The sequence below is a fragment of the Homo sapiens genome, chromosome 12, assembly GCF_000001405.40.
Source record: "Homo sapiens chromosome 12, GRCh38.p14 Primary Assembly".
In the NCBI taxonomy this organism is placed as follows: domain Eukaryota; kingdom Metazoa; phylum Chordata; class Mammalia; order Primates; family Hominidae; genus Homo; species Homo sapiens.
Window position 1 is genome coordinate 14,528,548 of NC_000012.12, and position 18,196 is coordinate 14,546,743.

The window sequence follows — 18,196 nt, forward strand, 5'->3', positions numbered from 1 at the left end:
GAACACAAAATATACCAAAATTTGTCAGATGCACCAAAAGTAGTGCTTATTGGAAAATTTATCATTTTATTTGCTTATGATAGAAAGATCAAAATCAGTTATCTAGTCTTCTACATTAAGAAGCTAGAAAAAATTACAAATTAAATGCAAAGTAAGTAGAAGAAAGAAAATAAATATAAAAATGGAAATTTTATCTTAATAAAGAAGAAAAATGGACAATATCATGAATGATAATGGGGACTTTACAGATCCTACAGACATTAAGAGGTTAAGAAAAACATTATAAATAGCTTCATATCAATAAAAACAATAACTTAGAAAGAAGGGATAAATTCCTTGAAAGATACATTTTTAAAACTAACTCAAGAAGAGTTAGAAAACTGAAATAGTTCTGTAGCAGTGAAAGAAATTAAATTTACAATTAATAACTTTTCAACAAATAAAAACCTTCATATCTAGCTTCACGCGTGAATTCTATTAAACACTTAAAGAAGAAAATGGGCTGGGCACAGTGGCTCACACCTGTAATCTCAGCATTTTGGGAAACCAAGGCAGGAGGATCACTTGAGCCTAGGTGTTTGAGGCTGCAGTGAGCTATGTTCACACCACTGTACTCCAGCCTGGGGGACAGAGTGAGACCCTGTCTTTAAAAATAAATAAATAAATAAATAAATAGAATAAAATAACACTAATCATATACATGCTCTTAAAACACTTAGGAGAAAGAAATAATTCCACATTTAGGATATGAGGATAAGCTTATCCTAAAACAAAAACCATCATAAGAAAAGCAGACTACAAACAAATATGTCTCATGAATGTAAATGAAAAAAATCATTAACACGTTAGTAAACTGAACTAAAAATAAATACAGAGAATAACACATCATGACTGAGGATTAACCCAGGAATTTCAAGTGGTTTAACATCTGAAAATCAATCAATGTAACTTATCATATTAATAAAGGAAAAAATTCATATGATCTTTTCAACAATTGCTGAGAAAGAATTCAGAAAAATGCAACACTCATTTATTGATAAAAATATTAAAGAAAGTAGGAAGAGCAGGGACCTTCCTTAACATTATAAAGGGCATCTACAAAAAATCTGCAGTTAACATCATACTTAATGGTGAAAGACAATACTTTTCACCCTAGGTCAGGAATTGGGCAAGGATTTGCATGCTCACCACTTATGGTCTCCATTATTCTGGAGGTCTTCTCCAGCACAATCATACAAAAAAACAATCAAAGACATACAAGGGATGGAAGAAGTCAAACTGTCTTTATTTAGAGATGTCATGATTGTATATATAGAAAATCCCAAGGAATCTACAAAAAAGCTATTAGAAAGATCTCAGGATAATAATGTACAAAAAAATCGTAATACATTGTGGTAGTTTTCAAATTTCCACAAATTCTTTGGCACCCTTCTCTTTAAAAGGTGGATTCTAATCGCCTTTCCTTGAATGTGGGCTGGTCATAACACCTTGCTTCTAATTAATAGAACCTGGTGGAAGTGAGCGTGTGTGACGTCTGAGGTGAGGTCACAATAGGCATTACTATTTCTGCCTTGTTCTTTTGGATGGCTTCGTCTGGAGCCAGGGGTCTTGCCATGAAGGACATTCAAGCAGTTCTGAGGAGAGGCCCAAGTGAAGAGGAACCAGTTGCCAGCACCACCCTGTCAGCTATGTTAGTAAGTCGTTTTGGAAGTGCATGTTCCAGTCTCAGTTAAGCTATCAGAGATTTTAGCCCCTCAGTCATTGAGTCTTCCAGCTGAGGCCCCAGTCACAGTAGAGACAAATTATCCCCACTGTGCCCTATCTAAATTCCTGATCCACAGAAACCATGAGTAACTAAATCATTATTGTTTTTAGCCACTAATGTTTGGAGCAATTTGTTATGTGGCAATGGGTAACCAATAAATACATATGAGCAACAAACAACTGAAAAAAGAATAAAAAACATTTTGATTACAGTAGCATCAAACATTACTTAGGATTTAACTTACTTAAAGGTATGTAAGACCTAAATACTGAAAACTACATGATATGACTCAAATTAAAGACTGAAATAAACAAATAGATTATATTAGTAGATTGGAAGACTCAATGTTGTTGACAAGTAAATTTTCTCTGGATTGGTTAAAACTATCAGATCTTTGTGCTGAGGTCTTCACACAATTGTATTGGCTGCCATTTCAGTGCCGTCATTTTCTAGTGATTTATCTCTTTGTCTTACCTCCTTGATTATTAATTTGCATTGCCAAAATAAGTAAATGTGTGGGGAGGGCTAGTGCAAGGCTTCTCCATTCCTTACTCAGCCTTAGCTGTTACTAGGCAAACAGACCATGTATTCAAAACCCTTCTTGTTAGGGACAGAAACTCCTAGAACAAGGCCATTCAAAGCCACTTTCCTTTGGGTATCCAGTGCCTCAGGCAAGTGTTTTTTGTTGTTGTTGTTGTTTTGTTGTTGTTTGTTTGTCTTTTTTAACAGGGCCCCTGCCTATATAAACAATTTGATTAAAAACATATATTTAAAAATTCATCAGTACATGTGAGATATGATGATTTATCATTGAAGATTTAGGATGATGGGCAGAGAAAGGCAATCTGTTTTGTCTATTGTCCAATCAGTGCACGTGAAGATTTGTTACAGTATCCAGGTACCATCTCTTTGTATTCTTTATTATTAAATGCATTGTTCTTGGCTAATTTCCTATTTTTTGTTATGAGAAAAAGGTAGCAATACTGTTATTACAAAACCATGACTTTTTGGAACCTGTTTGTTTTGAAACAACACAGATCTCCTTGCCTCTGCAGTTCCCTAACACCATTTTCTTAATGACTTTGCGACATCTACCACTCTACCTGTGAATCCTGGCTTCTAATGACTCAAAAATCCTTATTATGCTTTGTTAATGATGACCACAAATGCAAGCCTTACCCAGAGTGTTAAAAAAATTGTGAATGATAATTTGTTTTATGGTTACTAAAGCTACACTGGGAATTTTACAGTGTAAACATAGATCGACATGTTTTCTGTTGGACTCTTCAGGCTAATTGCTGCCTCCCTAGAATGTAATCTCTTTGTTGTTGTTCTTGAGACGAGGCCTCACTCTGTCCCCCAAGCTGAAGTGCAGTGGTGCTATCTCGGCTCCCTGCAACCTCTGCTTCCAGGGCTCAAGCTGTTCTTCAGCCTCAGCCTCCCAAATAGCTGGGATTACAGGCATGAGCTACCAACACTCGGCTGATTTTTTTGTATTTTTGCAGAGACGGGCTCTTGCCATGTTGCCCAGGTCTCAAACTCCTGAGCTCAAGATAATCCGCCCACCCTGGCCTCCTAAATTGCTGGGATTACAGGCATGAGCCTGCTTAGCCTGTTTAAATGTTAAGTGCATGTATTTGAAAGTAGGTACATAAAAAGATAAAAGAACAGGCTAAAAGCCCCAGGAAAATTTAAGTAAAGTTTTCATAATTTAAGGCTTCACAATTTAAGTCAAGTCTTCATGAGTCAAATCTCTTTTCATGCTGAACCCTCCCCCACCTTCACTCCTCACCCACGGGCACCAGTGGGTAGGATAGGTGAGAAGCCTATAAGTCGAGCTGGAAGAGCTGTCCCAATCACACCAGAAAAATCCATCTGGCTTAAGACTGACCCAAGACAGTAGGAAGTCACATCACCAACTGCAGCAAAAGATTTGCTGCAAAGGCCCGTTTGTGTTGTGGAGCAAGGTTCTCAAAAGGCCTCAGAGGGGCCAGGCCTAGCCCGCCCCAAGGACTGACCGACACATGGTACAGAGCTGCAGGGGTGAGGAGGCCACGACAGGGGCCAGATGTGGAGCTCATAGGTCGAAGTTCGCTTTACCGTCCTCCCCTGCTGCATGCTGAAACCCGAGGGTAAGAGGTGGTTTTCAGTAGCATAGAGCCCTGAACATATGCTCTGACATGAGAGTCACCCCAGGTCATCGTGTGACCACCGTTCTGACAGCTCAGTTATGCACCATCTTGCAAAAAATATATACTGTGAGGGCCAACTAGAGGAATCTGCTTACCAGGACCAGGCCATAGGCTTGAGTCCCAGAGCTCCTTAGGGCATCTTGTTGAACCCATGCGTGGGCAGGAATGGAGGAGAAGAGCCCCCAGATAGGGAGTCCACATGCGTTGCTTTCTGGACTCAGAGAAGCTGACCTGGATGGCTCTGCCACCTTGGTCAGTCTTGGGCACTAGAAGGGGATTTTGAAATTTTCTGGAAAGGAGCTTTCTAAACTAGATGCACAGAGACACAGGTCAAGATACTGCCAGCCTGGCCAGTCTCAGGATGCTGGAGGGGGATTTAGGTAATTTTCATGAAGGTAATTCCAAGCTGGGAGGGTGGGGTTCCTGTGCCCAGACCTAAGGGTGGTACTGAGGTTATCAGCACCTGGTATACTTTGGTATACTTTTGACCTTCCCTGGGTATTGCATGTTAGCCTCTTTAGGTGAAATAATTTCCTCAATCTCCACTTTGTATTTTAGAAAAGACTAAAAAAGACCAAGCCTGTTAAACAACTCCATCAAAGAAAAACAAGGAAGCCATCCAGCTTTGTTCTGGACTCAGCAGCTAAGATGGCATGAGCTTCATCGTAAAGCATAGTTCTATGTCATGTCTACTGGATGAATCCAATGTGGCTGGTCCCTTAATAAAATAAGTTGTAACATAAATGAGACTGCACATGTTTTCCTGTTTGGTGCTGAGAACAAAGCTGCCCAGTTAGAGAAAATATGAATCCCACTGTTCCATTGGCTCCTGTAAAAATGTTTTGGGGTATATATAAAACTGTCTGTTGCTCTCTTGGAGATTCAATTGCTCCAAAAAGCTCTACATATTATCTATGAAATCTACTTGTGTATCTCATCTGGAAGGATACATATGCAAATGTTAACAGGATTATACGTTTCATAAGAAAATCTTCCATGACCTTCTCCATCACTACCTCTGGGATCCAGGACTGTTAACACTACTGGAGAGCATTGTATTCCACAGAGATTTCAAAGCAGTGCACATAACATCTGAATATTGCATTTTATCACAAAGATGAGGAAGAGGAAGAATACTGGACTGCTCTGTCTCTTGCTGTCCTTAAATGTCAGTGTAATAGAATGTGAAAGAATCAAAGCACAGTCTAACTCAGAGAGAGGAGTCCCCAGTCCCCCTCAATGCTAAAACAACTAAGCAAACTAAGACAAAGATGAAATCAAATTGGTTTCAAAGAAAGGATCAGGTCACAAGGACAGAGAAATACTGGGTTATGCCCTTGGTCAGAATTCCTGATAGGGGCCGGACATGATTGCTCACACCTTAATCCCAGCACTTTGGGAGGCTGAGGCTGGAGGACCACTTGAACCCAGGAGCTTAAGACCAGCCTGGGGAATGTAGCAAGATCCCATCTCCATAAAACATTTTTTAAAAAATTAGTCAGGCATGGTGATGTGTGCCTGTAGTGTCAACTACTTGGGAGGCTGAGGCAAGAGGATCATTTGAGCCCTGAAGGTCAAAGCTGCAGTGGGCTAACATTGTACCGCTACACTCCAGCCTGGGGCGATAGGGTGAGACCCTGACTTTAAAAATAAAAAGGAATTTCTGATAGGAAGAGCAAAATACTCCGACAAAGGTAGATAGATATGACAGGTGGTTGGTATAACCACCCCATAAGTTACGGATGCGTAATTAAAGGTCAAACTGGTTACAGTGTATCCAGTTGAACCCTTAGATGTTTGGTGTTTTCCCCTTGACTTTGCTCATAATGTTTCCTGAGGAGGTTGGGGCTAACACATGCTAACACACATGCTTTGTTGGATTCACAGAGTGAGTTTTGTTGTTTTAAATACATAGTTTTATCTTAAGTTGGAGGGTCTGGAAATTCTTGGATGGAGAACAGACAGTGAGAGCTCATCCTTGCCTCCTTTCTGTGGGTCATATGTTTGCTACCATTGTTTCCACTTTCTCTTTTCTTTTCTTTTTTTTTTTTTTTTTTGAGACGGAGTCTCGCTCTGTCGCCCAGGCTGGAGTGCAGTGGAGTGATCTCCGCTCACTGCAAGCTCCGCCTCCCGGGTTCACGCCATTCTCTCGCCTCAGCCTCCAGAGTAGCTGCGACTACAGGCGCCCGCCACCACGCCTGGCTAATTTTTTGTATTTTTAGTAGAGACAGGGTTCACTGTGTTAGCCAGGATGGTCTCAATCTCCTGACCTCGTGATCCGCCCACCTTGGCCTCCCAAAGTGTTGGGATTATAGGCGTGAGCACCTGGCCTCCACTGTTTTCTTAAACCAGTCCTGCTTTATTCATTTACCTCACCTGCCTATTGCATTTAGGCCCAGGAATTTGCAGCCTCTCCTCTACTGGGACTGTCCTCCCGTCCATCTCTACTTTTTCAAATTCTAGCCATCCTTTCAAATTCTAGCCACTTTGAGATAGCCATGTTCATGGTCTATCTCAAAGGTTGTCCTCTCTTTCCCCAACAATCAGATGTGAGTCTCACCTCCTTGGAATGGACAACACTGGTTACACTTCTTTTGTAGCACATACAGTATCCAGTAATATTATTACTCTTATTCATATTACACTTTATATTGTCCTCTTGAGTATAGTGTAAGGTTTATAAACTTACACATTCATTCATCCATTCATTTGGCAATTTATTAAGTACTCAATGCCACACACTGAGGTTAAGTGCTGTGGATAGTGCAGTAAATAAAAGAAACACTACACGCCCTCAAGGTGGTACCTGAGTGCAGGATCAGCCATGTCTTCATTGCTTCTGCCGCAGAGCCTAGCAAAGAGTCTTGTACTTGATACATACTCAGTTGGCATTTGTTGAAATAAATTTAGATGTAGCCATTTACATTTACAAAGTGTCTTCTATTTGGCAATTCTAGTAACCTTGTTTATGTCATTCTATTAAATAAAAGTATTTGAGCTATATTTCTTCAAAAGCCCTCTGAAAATCAGATTGTTTGTTAATATATACTAACCATTAAACATTTCTTCTCCCATTGCAGTTAACACTGAATCACTAAGGTTTTATCCAGGAATAGTACTCAAAGTGCTCAGATGTTCCTTTAAATTCATTTACCTGGGTAACTGCTGAAAGAGAGGCGACTACTGCTGGTATCTTTATCTATGACGTTGAAGTCCCAGTGTTTATATATCCTGAGCATGGCTGCATACGTGTACCAGCTTGAGTGAGCAAAAAGGATGTTCTCAAATCCAGGAAGAACCTACAGCCAGAATCATAGTGGATTACACAGATGTACATAGCTAACTGACTGCAATTGTCTTAAGTGTAAGAGGCATACAGGGATTGTGCCATTTCAGGTAAGTGTTTATTGCTATACTGATTATTGGAAAATATGGCCAAGGAGTCAAGATTAACCTTTAATGTGGCCCCAAACAGACTCTTCCTTCTAACATTCAAAATGGAAGACTCCAGCTGGGCATGGTGGCTTACGCTCGAAATCCTAGCACTTTGGGAGGCCAAGGCAGGCGGATCACTTGAGGTCAGGAGTTTGAGACAAGCCTGGCCAAAATGGTGAAACCCTGTCTAAACCAAAAATACAAGAAAAATTAACCAGGCATGGTGGCACACCCATGTAGTCCCAGCTACTCGGGAAGCTGAGGCAGGAGAATCGCTTGAACCTGGGAGGCAGAGGTTGCAGTGAGGCAAGCTCACACCACTGCACTCCAGCCTGGGCAACAAAGTGAGACTCCGGCTCAAAAACAAAACAAAACAAAATGGAAGATTCTAGAAGGTGGGAGTGGCAGGTGCATACAGCATGGGAGGAATGGTGGAAGAACAGATGTAACATCGTGTACTTACAATTCTCTCCATCAAAGTTACTTCCAGTTCTTAACTTCTACCATTGAAGAACTCATGAGCTGATATACAGTTATAGCCAGGGGTGATGAGATGTTGCTATACTTGGGCGCTATATAGAAAAAGTCTGTATGAACCAGAACAAGGCAAAAGGAGCTGCTATGTCTTACCTTGATAAGAGCGGAGCAATGTCCCATGTCCCATCTCTTAAAAACCTTTAGGCTGCCGTTTTTTGTGGGAGAGAGTGAGGGAATCAGATCCAATAGATCTCCAACACTATTCAGGAACTGAATCTGGAACAGGGTCATTGGCTAGGAAAGGACAAAGACTGCACTTAACATCGTTTTGTGACAGACATCATTTCCTGTTTTCCTCTTGTTAGGGACCCATTAAATTATTCCCTTGCAGGCTGTGCATGGTGGCTCACGCCTGTAATCCCAGCACTTTGGGAGGCCAACGCGGGTGGATCTCCCGAGGTGAGGGGTTTGAGACCAGCCTGGCCAACACAGCAAAACCCTGTCTCTACTGAAAATACAAAAATTAGTTGGGCGTGGTGGCGGGCGCCTGTAGTCCCAGCTACTCAGGAGGCTGAGGCAGGAGAATCGCTTGAACCCAGGAGGCGGAGGTTGCAGTGAGCCAAGATCGCACCACAGCACTCCAGCCTGGGCAACAGAGCGAGACCGCATCTCAAAAAAAAAAAAAAAAAAAAAGTTATTTATTTTCGAAGAGTCTCTAATTTAACAGGTACGCTAGATTTTTATTGTAGCTTATAAAATAATTGTTATGGCTTTATAGTTTAAAAGAGCTGTTTTGGCATGTTTTGATAGCCCCAGAATTTGGGAGTGGCTCCTTGGAGAGTAAAACAGAGCTTTCTGTTTGCACTCTACAGCAGTGCTTCTCAACCTTGGCACTATTGACATTTTGAGCTGGCCGATACTTTCTTTTCAGTTGTTGTGCGTTGTGAGATGTTTAGCGTCATCCCTGGCCTCTACCCACTAGGTACCAGCAGCAACTTCACAGTTGTGGCAACCAAAAATATCTCCAAGACTTTGCCAAGTGTCCTCTGGAGAGAAAACCACTCTTAGACAAGAACCACTGCTATACAGCAAAAACATTCAACTAAGATGCTTTTGGTTTTGATTGTGTGTTTACTATAAGACTAACTGACCAGCCAGCATTGACTTTGAAGCAATTATCAGATTGTACTTGAACATGAACTTTGTGCAAACTGGAGAGCACGGCTCCAGGAAGATTCAATCTGCTGGAGCAGGTCCGGGTTAGGCATCAGCAAATTGGTTTTGGGGTAGAGGTGGTGGGAAGACAAACACAAATGACATTTTAACCAAAAAACTAAAACCAAAGCAAAAATTCAATCCAATTTTTATTTATATAAATATCATCTCTGTTTTGTTTGTTTGAATAAATTATTCATTTATTAGTCAAGATTTAAAAAAAATTATAACAAAGTTTATATCAGAAAGTCTCCTCCTTTACCTGTTCTCCATTTTCTCAGGTACTACCATTTCTAGTTAATCATTTTTACTAGTTTTTTTGCATATACTGCCAGAGTTTTTTGATTTTTTTATTTTTCCCTACTGGCACTGTGATCTTGGATCCAGAGTTTTAAAAATGTCTTGTAAATAAAATTTTTAAAAACATACATGGTAGTGTGTCATATGTGCTGTTGTTCACCTTGATTTTTTTTGTCTTAGTATCTTTCATTTAATGTTTTGGGGATATTTTTATATTGGATGTAAAAATTGTCCTCACTCTTCTTTTTTTAATTATTATTTATTTATTTATTTATTTTTGAGACAGAGTTTCACTCTAGTTGCCCAGGCTGGAGTGCAATGGCGCGATCTCAGCTCACTGCAACCTCCGCATCCTGAGTTCAAGCAAATCTCCTGCCTTGGCTTCCCAAATAGCTGGGATTACAGGTGCCCGCCCCATGTCCAGCTAATTTTTGTAGTTTTTTGTAGAGATGGGGTTTCACCATGTTGGCTAGGCTGGTCTAGAACTCCTGACCTCAGGTGATCCACCCACCTTGGCCTCCCAAAGTGCTGGGATTGCAGGTGTCAGCCACTGCACCCAGCCTGTCTTCACTCTCCTAAGCAGCATTCCAACGTACGGATGTATTATAATATTTTTAACTACTCTTTTTTGATGAATTTTCAAGTGGTTTCTAGTCTTTTGATATTGTAAACAATGCCACAATAATTAATCTTGGACGCTTCATTTTGCTTGTGTTTGAGTCTATGTGTAGGATAAATTCCTAGAAGTGATTTAGATTTTAATAGATATTGCCAAATTGTCCTCATACGAATTGTTTAAATTATACTCTTCTGGCCGGGCACAGTGGCTTATGCCTGTAATCCCGGCATTTTGGGAGGCCGAGTCCAGTGAATCACCTGAGGTCAGGAGTTCGAGACCAGCCTGGCTAACACGGTGAAACCCCATCTCTATTAAAAATACAAAAATTAGCCGGGCATGGTGGCGCATGCTTGTAATCCCAGCTACTCAAGAGGCTGAGGCACGAGAATTGCTTGAGTCCAGGAGGCGGAGGTTGCAGCTGAGATCAACCACTGCCCTCCAGCCTGGGTGATATCGCGAGGCTCTGTCTCTAAATAAATAAATAAATAAATAAAACTCTTCCATCCTCAACAACATATTAAACATTTAGTTTATTTCCAATCTCATAGGTGCAAAACAGTATCCCATTGTAATTGATATTTGCATTTCTTTTGTTATACTGTATAATACATCCATACATTGGAACACTGCTTAGAAGAGTGAGGACAGATGATATTATACATCTGAAAGAATAAAGATGTATACATACCATTTAAGGAAAAATAAATAAACACTGATGTAGTCAACTCACAGTTTACGAAATGGAACATTAGCAGTGCCTTGGAAGTCTCCAATCTCATCTCTCTCCTTTCCCGCCAGCGGTCACCACTATGCTAAATTTTGTATAGCTCATTACCTGCCTCTCTATTATTTATCATCTATATATAATATATTTATCATCTATATATATTTTTAAGATATATTTTTTAAAATCTACCTTTTTTGAATTTGCACAAATACAGTCATATTGTGTGGGCTGGGTGCAATGGCTCATACCTGTAATCCCAGCACTTTGGGAGGTTGAGGCGGATGGATCTTTTGAGGTCAGGAGTTCGAGACTAGCCTGGCCAACATGGTAAAACCTCATCTCTACTAAAAATACAAAAATTAGTTGGGTGTGGTGGCTCAAGTTTGTAGTCCCAGCTACTCGGGAGGATGAGGCAGGAGAATCACCTGAACCCAGGAGGCAGAGGTTGCAGTGAGCCAAGATCATGCCACTGCACTCCAGCCTGGGTGAAAAAGCAAGACTCTGACTAAAAAAAAAAAAGTTAGAGTCTTACTGTATGCATTTTTCTGTAACTCATTCCTTTCACTGGGTATTATTGTTTTGACATTTATCAATATATATGTGTATATACACATATATATACACACATATATACACAGACATGTACATGTATATATGTGTGTATATATGTATACATATACATATATATACAAATACTGGACAAAATAGACAAAAAGTTCAAAGAAAAGCTATGCACATATATATATATATATATATATATATATATATATATATATACACACACACACTGGTCAAAATAGGCAAAAAGAGAGTTATATAATATAAATATTATTTATATATATATATATATATATACTGGCAAAATAGACAAAACATAATAAATGTAACATGTTATATAATATACAGATTATATACATATATACTGGCAAAATAGACCAAAAGACAGTTATATAATATACATTTTTCATTTAGACATATATTATCACGGGAAATAAAATATCCATAATTTTGGAAGTACATCAAATGGTACATTGGAAGCCTTAGTGATTCAGTAAAGCTTTCCCCCAGAATTAGAATGTATATGTGTTTGTGTGGATATGTGTTTATGTGAATGTTGTGGAGTGTGGGAAACATAGAACTTGTATACTTAAACATCTTGTCTTAATGAGCATGCAGTCTAAAACACTAGTTTTATCAGATTAGCTAAAAACCCAGTACATTCATACTATGCTTTTTAACCTAATCCTGAGCCCAGTATTATGGAAGATTGAAAATACACAGAAACAAGTTGGCTTATTTGTGTTTTGGGCTTGTAATTTTGTAAGTTAGGTGCTGCAATATGAGAGCTATGACAGTTCTTTTCCGTAAGGAATTTATACTGTAGTTCTACTTTGACCTGCTTCTAAATTGGAATGTTATTTTAAAGATAACATTCAATATTCTTACCATACTCTATAAATTCTGAGAAGCTTGTTTAAAGTCCTACCTTTGTCCCTTCTAATATAGCCCTCTTCTTTGCTCCTACATAGAGGCCATCTATTTGTGCCATCACATAGCCTGTATGTCTCCAAAATGAATCAGTCTTGTATTCTTTGATATTTTTCCGGGTCCACTTATCTTGCTTCCTGGAAGAGAAATTAGATTTGCACCACAGTCTCAATAGTTGCTCATTCAAAGCTAAATCAAAGCAGGCATTGAGAGATTATATACTCAGACACTTATGCTAATGTGATTTAAATTCTAGATCTTGTAACACTCCAGTCACTCAAAGGACTTCAGGGCAAATTCTAACTGATTTTTAATTTCTCCCTAGGGTTATGATTCTTCTTTCACAGCTTCTTCTGTGCTGTATCTAGAACAAAAGCATAAGTGTGATAGTGACCTAACTGTGATACAAGACCTAAACATGTCAAGGAGAGACTATCCAAATGCATTTTGTGTAAAACCACAATGTTTCACAAAGTCAATAAAGGTAGGTTGATTCACCTTACTTTTAGTTGTAGAAGTAGTAAAGTTAAACAACGGGACAAAAATCTAAGGACAAGGTGGTTTATATCTGTTTGTATTTCTCTCAGATCATTTGCATAGCTTATGATTCATTCCGTTTCAGTTGTTATTAGTAACCGCTTCAATGCCTCTGTCCTAGCATGGTAGCAAAAATGTCATTTTTTAATGGTCCTTTCACTCTTCTTCCAGTTCTCTGAACTTTTATGGGATGATTTGATATAACTTTGCGTACTGAAAACTATTTCTGACTTGTCCAGGCTATCACTAGCTCAATCTTAGAATAATGTCATTGCTTCATGGGATCTAGCCCAGTGGTTTTTAACTGAAGCTCTATAGGACTTTAAGCATTTCATGAAGAGGTTGCTTAGAGTGCAGTTTGGAGGGCCAACCCAAGAGCCTTTCTGTCCCCAAATTAATCTCCTGTCATCCCACAAATGTAAACACATTTAAAACTTTAGTCTTAGAAAACTTTATTAAAATGGAAATATTCTCAGAGGGTGTTAAGAGTTATAACTTTAGATATTATTGAAGACCTCAGCTAGGATTAGTAAGCAGGCTCATGAAAAGGAAACATCTTAAAGAGCGAGGAGAGGGGATCCCTGAAAAAAGGAGAAGGGCCTCCATGAGGAACAGACCCAGGGACTTAACACTGGTACTTTACACTGGTGATGTTCCTCTAACCGTGTTAGCAATTGAGTATGCGATATTCAACTCAACCTTTGAAAGAGCTGAAATTAGAGAGCATGTTGTCTGCAACCACTTTTCATGCCATTAGCAAAAAGTGCTATACCCTACTACAAGAATAACTCTAGAGTCCTGCTAAAGAGATTAAAAAGAAATTGGCAAAAAATTGCTGCTTGAAATTACAGATTCAGTGCCTCCAACATTTAAAACAATGAAAAGAGAAAAGCTATTATACGTACTCCATAAAATCCTGCACTTTATCCATGATGGAAGGTTTCGTGATCAGCTGTGGGTAGAGGTTTGTGTAGTGGTCATTCATGTGTCTGAAATGATACATGAAAATTATTACATTTATATTTTTCTTCTTGGATTTCTCCATCACAGTAAATTATTCAATCATTTGGCTAACTAGGATGTCCCTTATTACAAACTCTGCCTACTATCTTTTTTTTCCTTAATAAATGCACAGTTTCAAATTGGGAAATATTTACAACATATAGAAAAGGATAGAATATTGAAAACACCCCAAGTATTCACCGCTCAACTTTATTAAGTTATTATATTTTGCCATATTTGCCACATATATTTTAAAAATCAAACAAAAAATTTGAGTCGAAGCCTCTGTGTGCACTTCCTGATGCTAATTGTTTTCCCTTCTCCCAAGAGGTAATAACTTCAGTCTTGAATCTGATTATTCCCATGCATGTTTTTATGCAATTACTACATATACATTTAACCATAAATAATGTATAGAATTATTTATCATGTTCGCAACACACTATAAAAAAGATCATACTGGCTGGGCACGGTGGCTCATGCCTGTAATCCCAGCACTTTGGGAGGCTGAGGCAGGCGGATCACAAGGTCAGGAGATCGAGACCATCCTGGCTAACACGGTGAAACCCCGTCTGTACTAAAAATGGAAAAAATTAGCCAGGCGTGGTGGCGGGCGCCTGTAGTCCCAGCTACTCGGGAGGCTGAGGCAGGAGAATGGCATGAACCTGGGAGGCAGAGCTTGCAGCGATTCTTTATTTTAAAACTTAAAAAAATTAAAAATGTCTCATATGGTGTACAGTTAATATTTTTAATTGATTAAAATAATCCACTTATATTACTGGGATTTTAACATTCTTGGATTTATCTCTATAATCTTTTCTGTTTTCCATTTACTATCCCTTTATTTGTCCCCTCTTTCATGTTTTCTTTGTTTAGATAATACTTTTGTTATTTTCTTTTCAGTTTTGCTGATTTAAAACCTATAGAATGTATTTTTATTCTTAATATTAAAAAGATATAACTAATATTTTCTTATAAAGTCTAAATGAGTTTTATATTTCTCTCTTCCTCCAAACATAAAGCATATTTTAGCAAATTTTAACTACCCATTGACATCCTCCATCATGTTATTGTTCAAAGATTTAGTTTTACCTTTTTAATTAAAAATTTTGATTTAAAAATTATTTTCTTAGGCCGAGCACGATGGTTCACACTTGTAATCCCAGCATTTTGGGAGGCTGAGGTGGGCAGATCACGAGGTCAGGAGTTTGAGAACAGCCTGGCCAACATGGTGAAACCCCGTCTCTACTAAAAATACACACACAAAAAAATTAGCTGGCCCTGGAGGCGTGCACCTGTAATCCCAGCTACTTGGGAGGCTGAGGCAGGAGAATCGCTTAAACCTGGGAGGTGGAGGTTGCAGTGAGCCAAGATCATGCCATTGCATTCCAGCCTGGGCAACAGAGCAAGACTCCATCTCAGGAAAAAAAATAAAAATTATTTTCTTTTTAACCTTTACAATTAAATTGTATTAATTTTTTGTTTCTTGTATTAACGATTGTTCCTTATATACCACACCTTCCCTACTATTATACTTGCTAAAGTATATCCTCTAACAGTTTAATAGACGTCTTTGGGTGGTAAACTTTTAATTTATGTATCTGAACATATTCTTATTTTGCCCCTACTCTTGGATAATTTAAATGGTTATAACATTCTAGTAAGATATTTCTCCTCAATACTTTTAAGATAATATCTTGGTATCTTCTGACACTATTGCTGATGATCAGCAATATGCTTCCTGCTGAAATTCCTTTGTAGTTAATGTCTTTCCTTTCTAATAGCTTTTAAGATTGTTCCCTTTATCTTCAATTGTCTGCAGTCTCATCTGCTGCATTATAGCAATTTAAAAGGCTGTGTCTTCCAACTAAGGACTTGTGTTTTTTTGAAACGGAGTCTTGCTCTGTCACCCAGGCTGGAGGGCTGCGGTGCGATCTTGGTTCACTGCAACCGCCGCCTCCCAAGTTCAAGGAATTCTCCTGCCTCAGCCTCCCGAGTAGCTGGGACTACTGGCGTTTGCCACCATGCCTGGCTAATTTTTGTATTTTTAGTAGAGATGGGGTTTTGCCATATTGGCCAGGCTGATCTTGAACTCCTGACCTCAGGTGATCCACCCACCTCAGCCTCCCAAAGTACTGGGATTATAGGAGTGAGCCACTGCACTGGGCCCGTTTTTTCCATTTTGATAAATTCTCAGCAATTACCTTGTCAATTATTGCTTATCTGCAGTTGCCTCTAGTCTCTTTTTCTGAAACTCCTAATAGGTCTATATCAGAGTTTCTCAATCTAATTGCTATGTCTAATAACAGTTTTTTCATAATTTTTACCCCTTTATCTCTTTGGGCTGTTTATGGTATAAATCCCTCAATACTAATATCTGATTCAGAATTTTTTCTCTGATTGTATCTAGTCTAGGGTTTGTCTATGTATTGAGATTTTTAAAAATTAACTTCTATAATTTTCTTTTATATTTTAACAAGTTCTTTAAAAAATCATCTTCTTACTTCTTATTCCTTGTTTAATAAATTCTCCAAGTTTTCTTTCATTTATAACTTAAAGCACCCTATGCAAATTTAAAGTCTTTGTTAAACCATTCTAAAAATTAATCTGGAGTATATTCATATTGTTGATTTTGTTGACTGTCTTTCAATTTCTTTGTGGATTTTGGAACTTTGGTGTGTAGGCATTTTTCTTTCCCCCCTCTCTGTCTCTCTCCCTCTCTCCCTCCCTCTTTCTCTGTCCAAATGCCTCCATCTGAGTCCTAGGAACCAGGTCTTACAGTGCCTTTTTGGGACTTCCATCCTATGGAATATTGCAGTGATATTTGTAAATAACTAAACCAGCTGTGAATGCTTTGGCTTTTGGTTGCCACTGCCTCCCCACCCCACACCCCCAAGCTTACCGTTTCTTATAAATCTGTAGGCTAGGACTTACATCACCAACACTATTTTGTGGCCTCCTTTCTACAAGCAGTTAAAAGCATCTGGCTCCCAGCCTTGACTCAGCTCACTCAGAGCCTTGAGGCCCTCACCCATCAGCAGGTGGCTGCCTCTGCTGGCTTCAGGCCAAGGGCCAGCAGATCCATATTTTATCACTTTGTTTTCTGTTCAATTTCTGGTAGAAGAGACATTTAATCTTGTTCTGGAGCCCAGGTGTGTTACTATGAGGTTTTCTTTCTACATATTTTCCCTATAATTTGCTCTAAGTTTAGAGCAAAGAGGAAGTCCCTGCACCCTCTGGACTGAATATTTACCTACAGTCCTCGTTCTGGTTTTTATCTGATGCTTTTCACTGATGTAGGGAGTTCAGAATTGGAGGCCATTCTGGATTCCAAGAATGGGAATTTGGCTCCTACACTTTGAAACTTCAGATATTCTTTATCTAGTTGTTTCCAGAACTGAAACTAATAAACTGAGAATAGTTTTATTGCTGGTGAAGTACACGACATTATGATCCTTTGAAATTTTTTATTTTATGGTCCTGGAATTTAATAAACTTTACCTCATGAGATTTTTTTTTCAAATTACCTGTGTATATATATTAAATTGAATCATCACATTTAACTATTATTTACATATAGTTTATGCTGTCACATACCTCTGCTTTGATCCATTCGGTTACTTTCTACCACCTCTTAATACAAGAGCAAGAACAGCAATAAAGCTAGACAAGTGTGTGGGTGACAAGAAAGGGATCCTCTGTCCTGGCCTCATGCTCTTAAAATGAGTTACATGAAGGCCAGCACGGTGGCTCACACCCGTAATTCCAGCAGTTTGGGAAGCCGAGGTTGGTGGATTGCTTGAGATCAGGAGTTCAAGACCAGCCTTGGCAACATGGCAAAACCCTGTCTCTACTAAAAATACAAAAAGCCAGGCATGGTGGCACATGCCTGTAACCCCAGCACTTGGGTGGTTGAGGCACAAGAATTGCTTGAACCCAGGAGGCTGAGGTTGTAGTGAGCAGAGATCATGACACCGCACTCCAGCCTGAGCAACAGAGCAAGATTCTGTCTCAAAAAAAAAAAAAAATGAAAAACAAAAAACAGTTATATGAAAATAGTTTTATTTATTGGAAACCAATAACTTGTGGGCTCTTCACTTACAATGCTCACTCAGGTAAAGAAACAAAAAATTCATACTTTTTATCCAAAGTCTTCCATCACTGCACCCTGCCTAGCTCCACCCAGAGTTCCAGATCCCCCACATTTTTCAGTCTATTTCAAGATAAGGCAGTAGTTCTCAACTGGCATGATTTCTCCCTGTAAGGAGCATTTCTAGAGACATTTTTGGTTGTCACACTGAGTGAGGGAGAAGGTGCAACTGCTAGCTAGTGGGTAGAGGCCACAGATGCTGCTAAAGATCCCACAAGGTACAGAACAGCTTACCACAGCAAAGAACAATCCAACCCAAAATGTCAATATTGCCTAGATGGGAAAATCC

General features: G+C 39.1%; 1 protein-coding gene and 1 long non-coding RNA gene across 3 annotated transcripts in view; one reads left to right on the forward strand and one right to left on the reverse strand.

Annotated features, from left to right (window-relative positions):
• Nucleotides 1-18,196, reverse strand: part of PLBD1 (phospholipase B domain containing 1) — a 64,223-nt gene that overhangs the window by 24,887 nt on the left and 21,140 nt on the right. Inside the window, exons 3-6 of the mRNA NM_024829.6 lie at nucleotides 13,661-13,744; nucleotides 12,217-12,355; nucleotides 8,023-8,163; nucleotides 7,112-7,256 (exon numbers count right to left, since the gene is read on the reverse strand). Coding sequence (NP_079105.4) covers nucleotides 7,112-7,256; nucleotides 8,023-8,163; nucleotides 12,217-12,355; nucleotides 13,661-13,744 — 509 coding nt within the window. The remainder of the gene's footprint in view (nucleotides 1-7,111; nucleotides 7,257-8,022; nucleotides 8,164-12,216; nucleotides 12,356-13,660; nucleotides 13,745-18,196) is intronic.
• PLBD1-AS2 (PLBD1 antisense RNA 2) lies at nucleotides 1,592-15,028 on the forward strand. Of its 2 annotated transcripts, NR_187784.1 has the most exons (5): nucleotides 1,592-1,694; nucleotides 2,495-2,663; nucleotides 7,038-7,353; nucleotides 12,544-12,702; nucleotides 14,891-15,028. It is a non-coding gene; the product is annotated as a PLBD1 antisense RNA 2 (long non-coding RNA). The 2 variants fall into 2 exon arrangements; NR_187785.1 differs by lacking the exons at nucleotides 7,038-7,353; nucleotides 12,544-12,702; nucleotides 14,891-15,028 and adding an exon at nucleotides 4,516-4,701.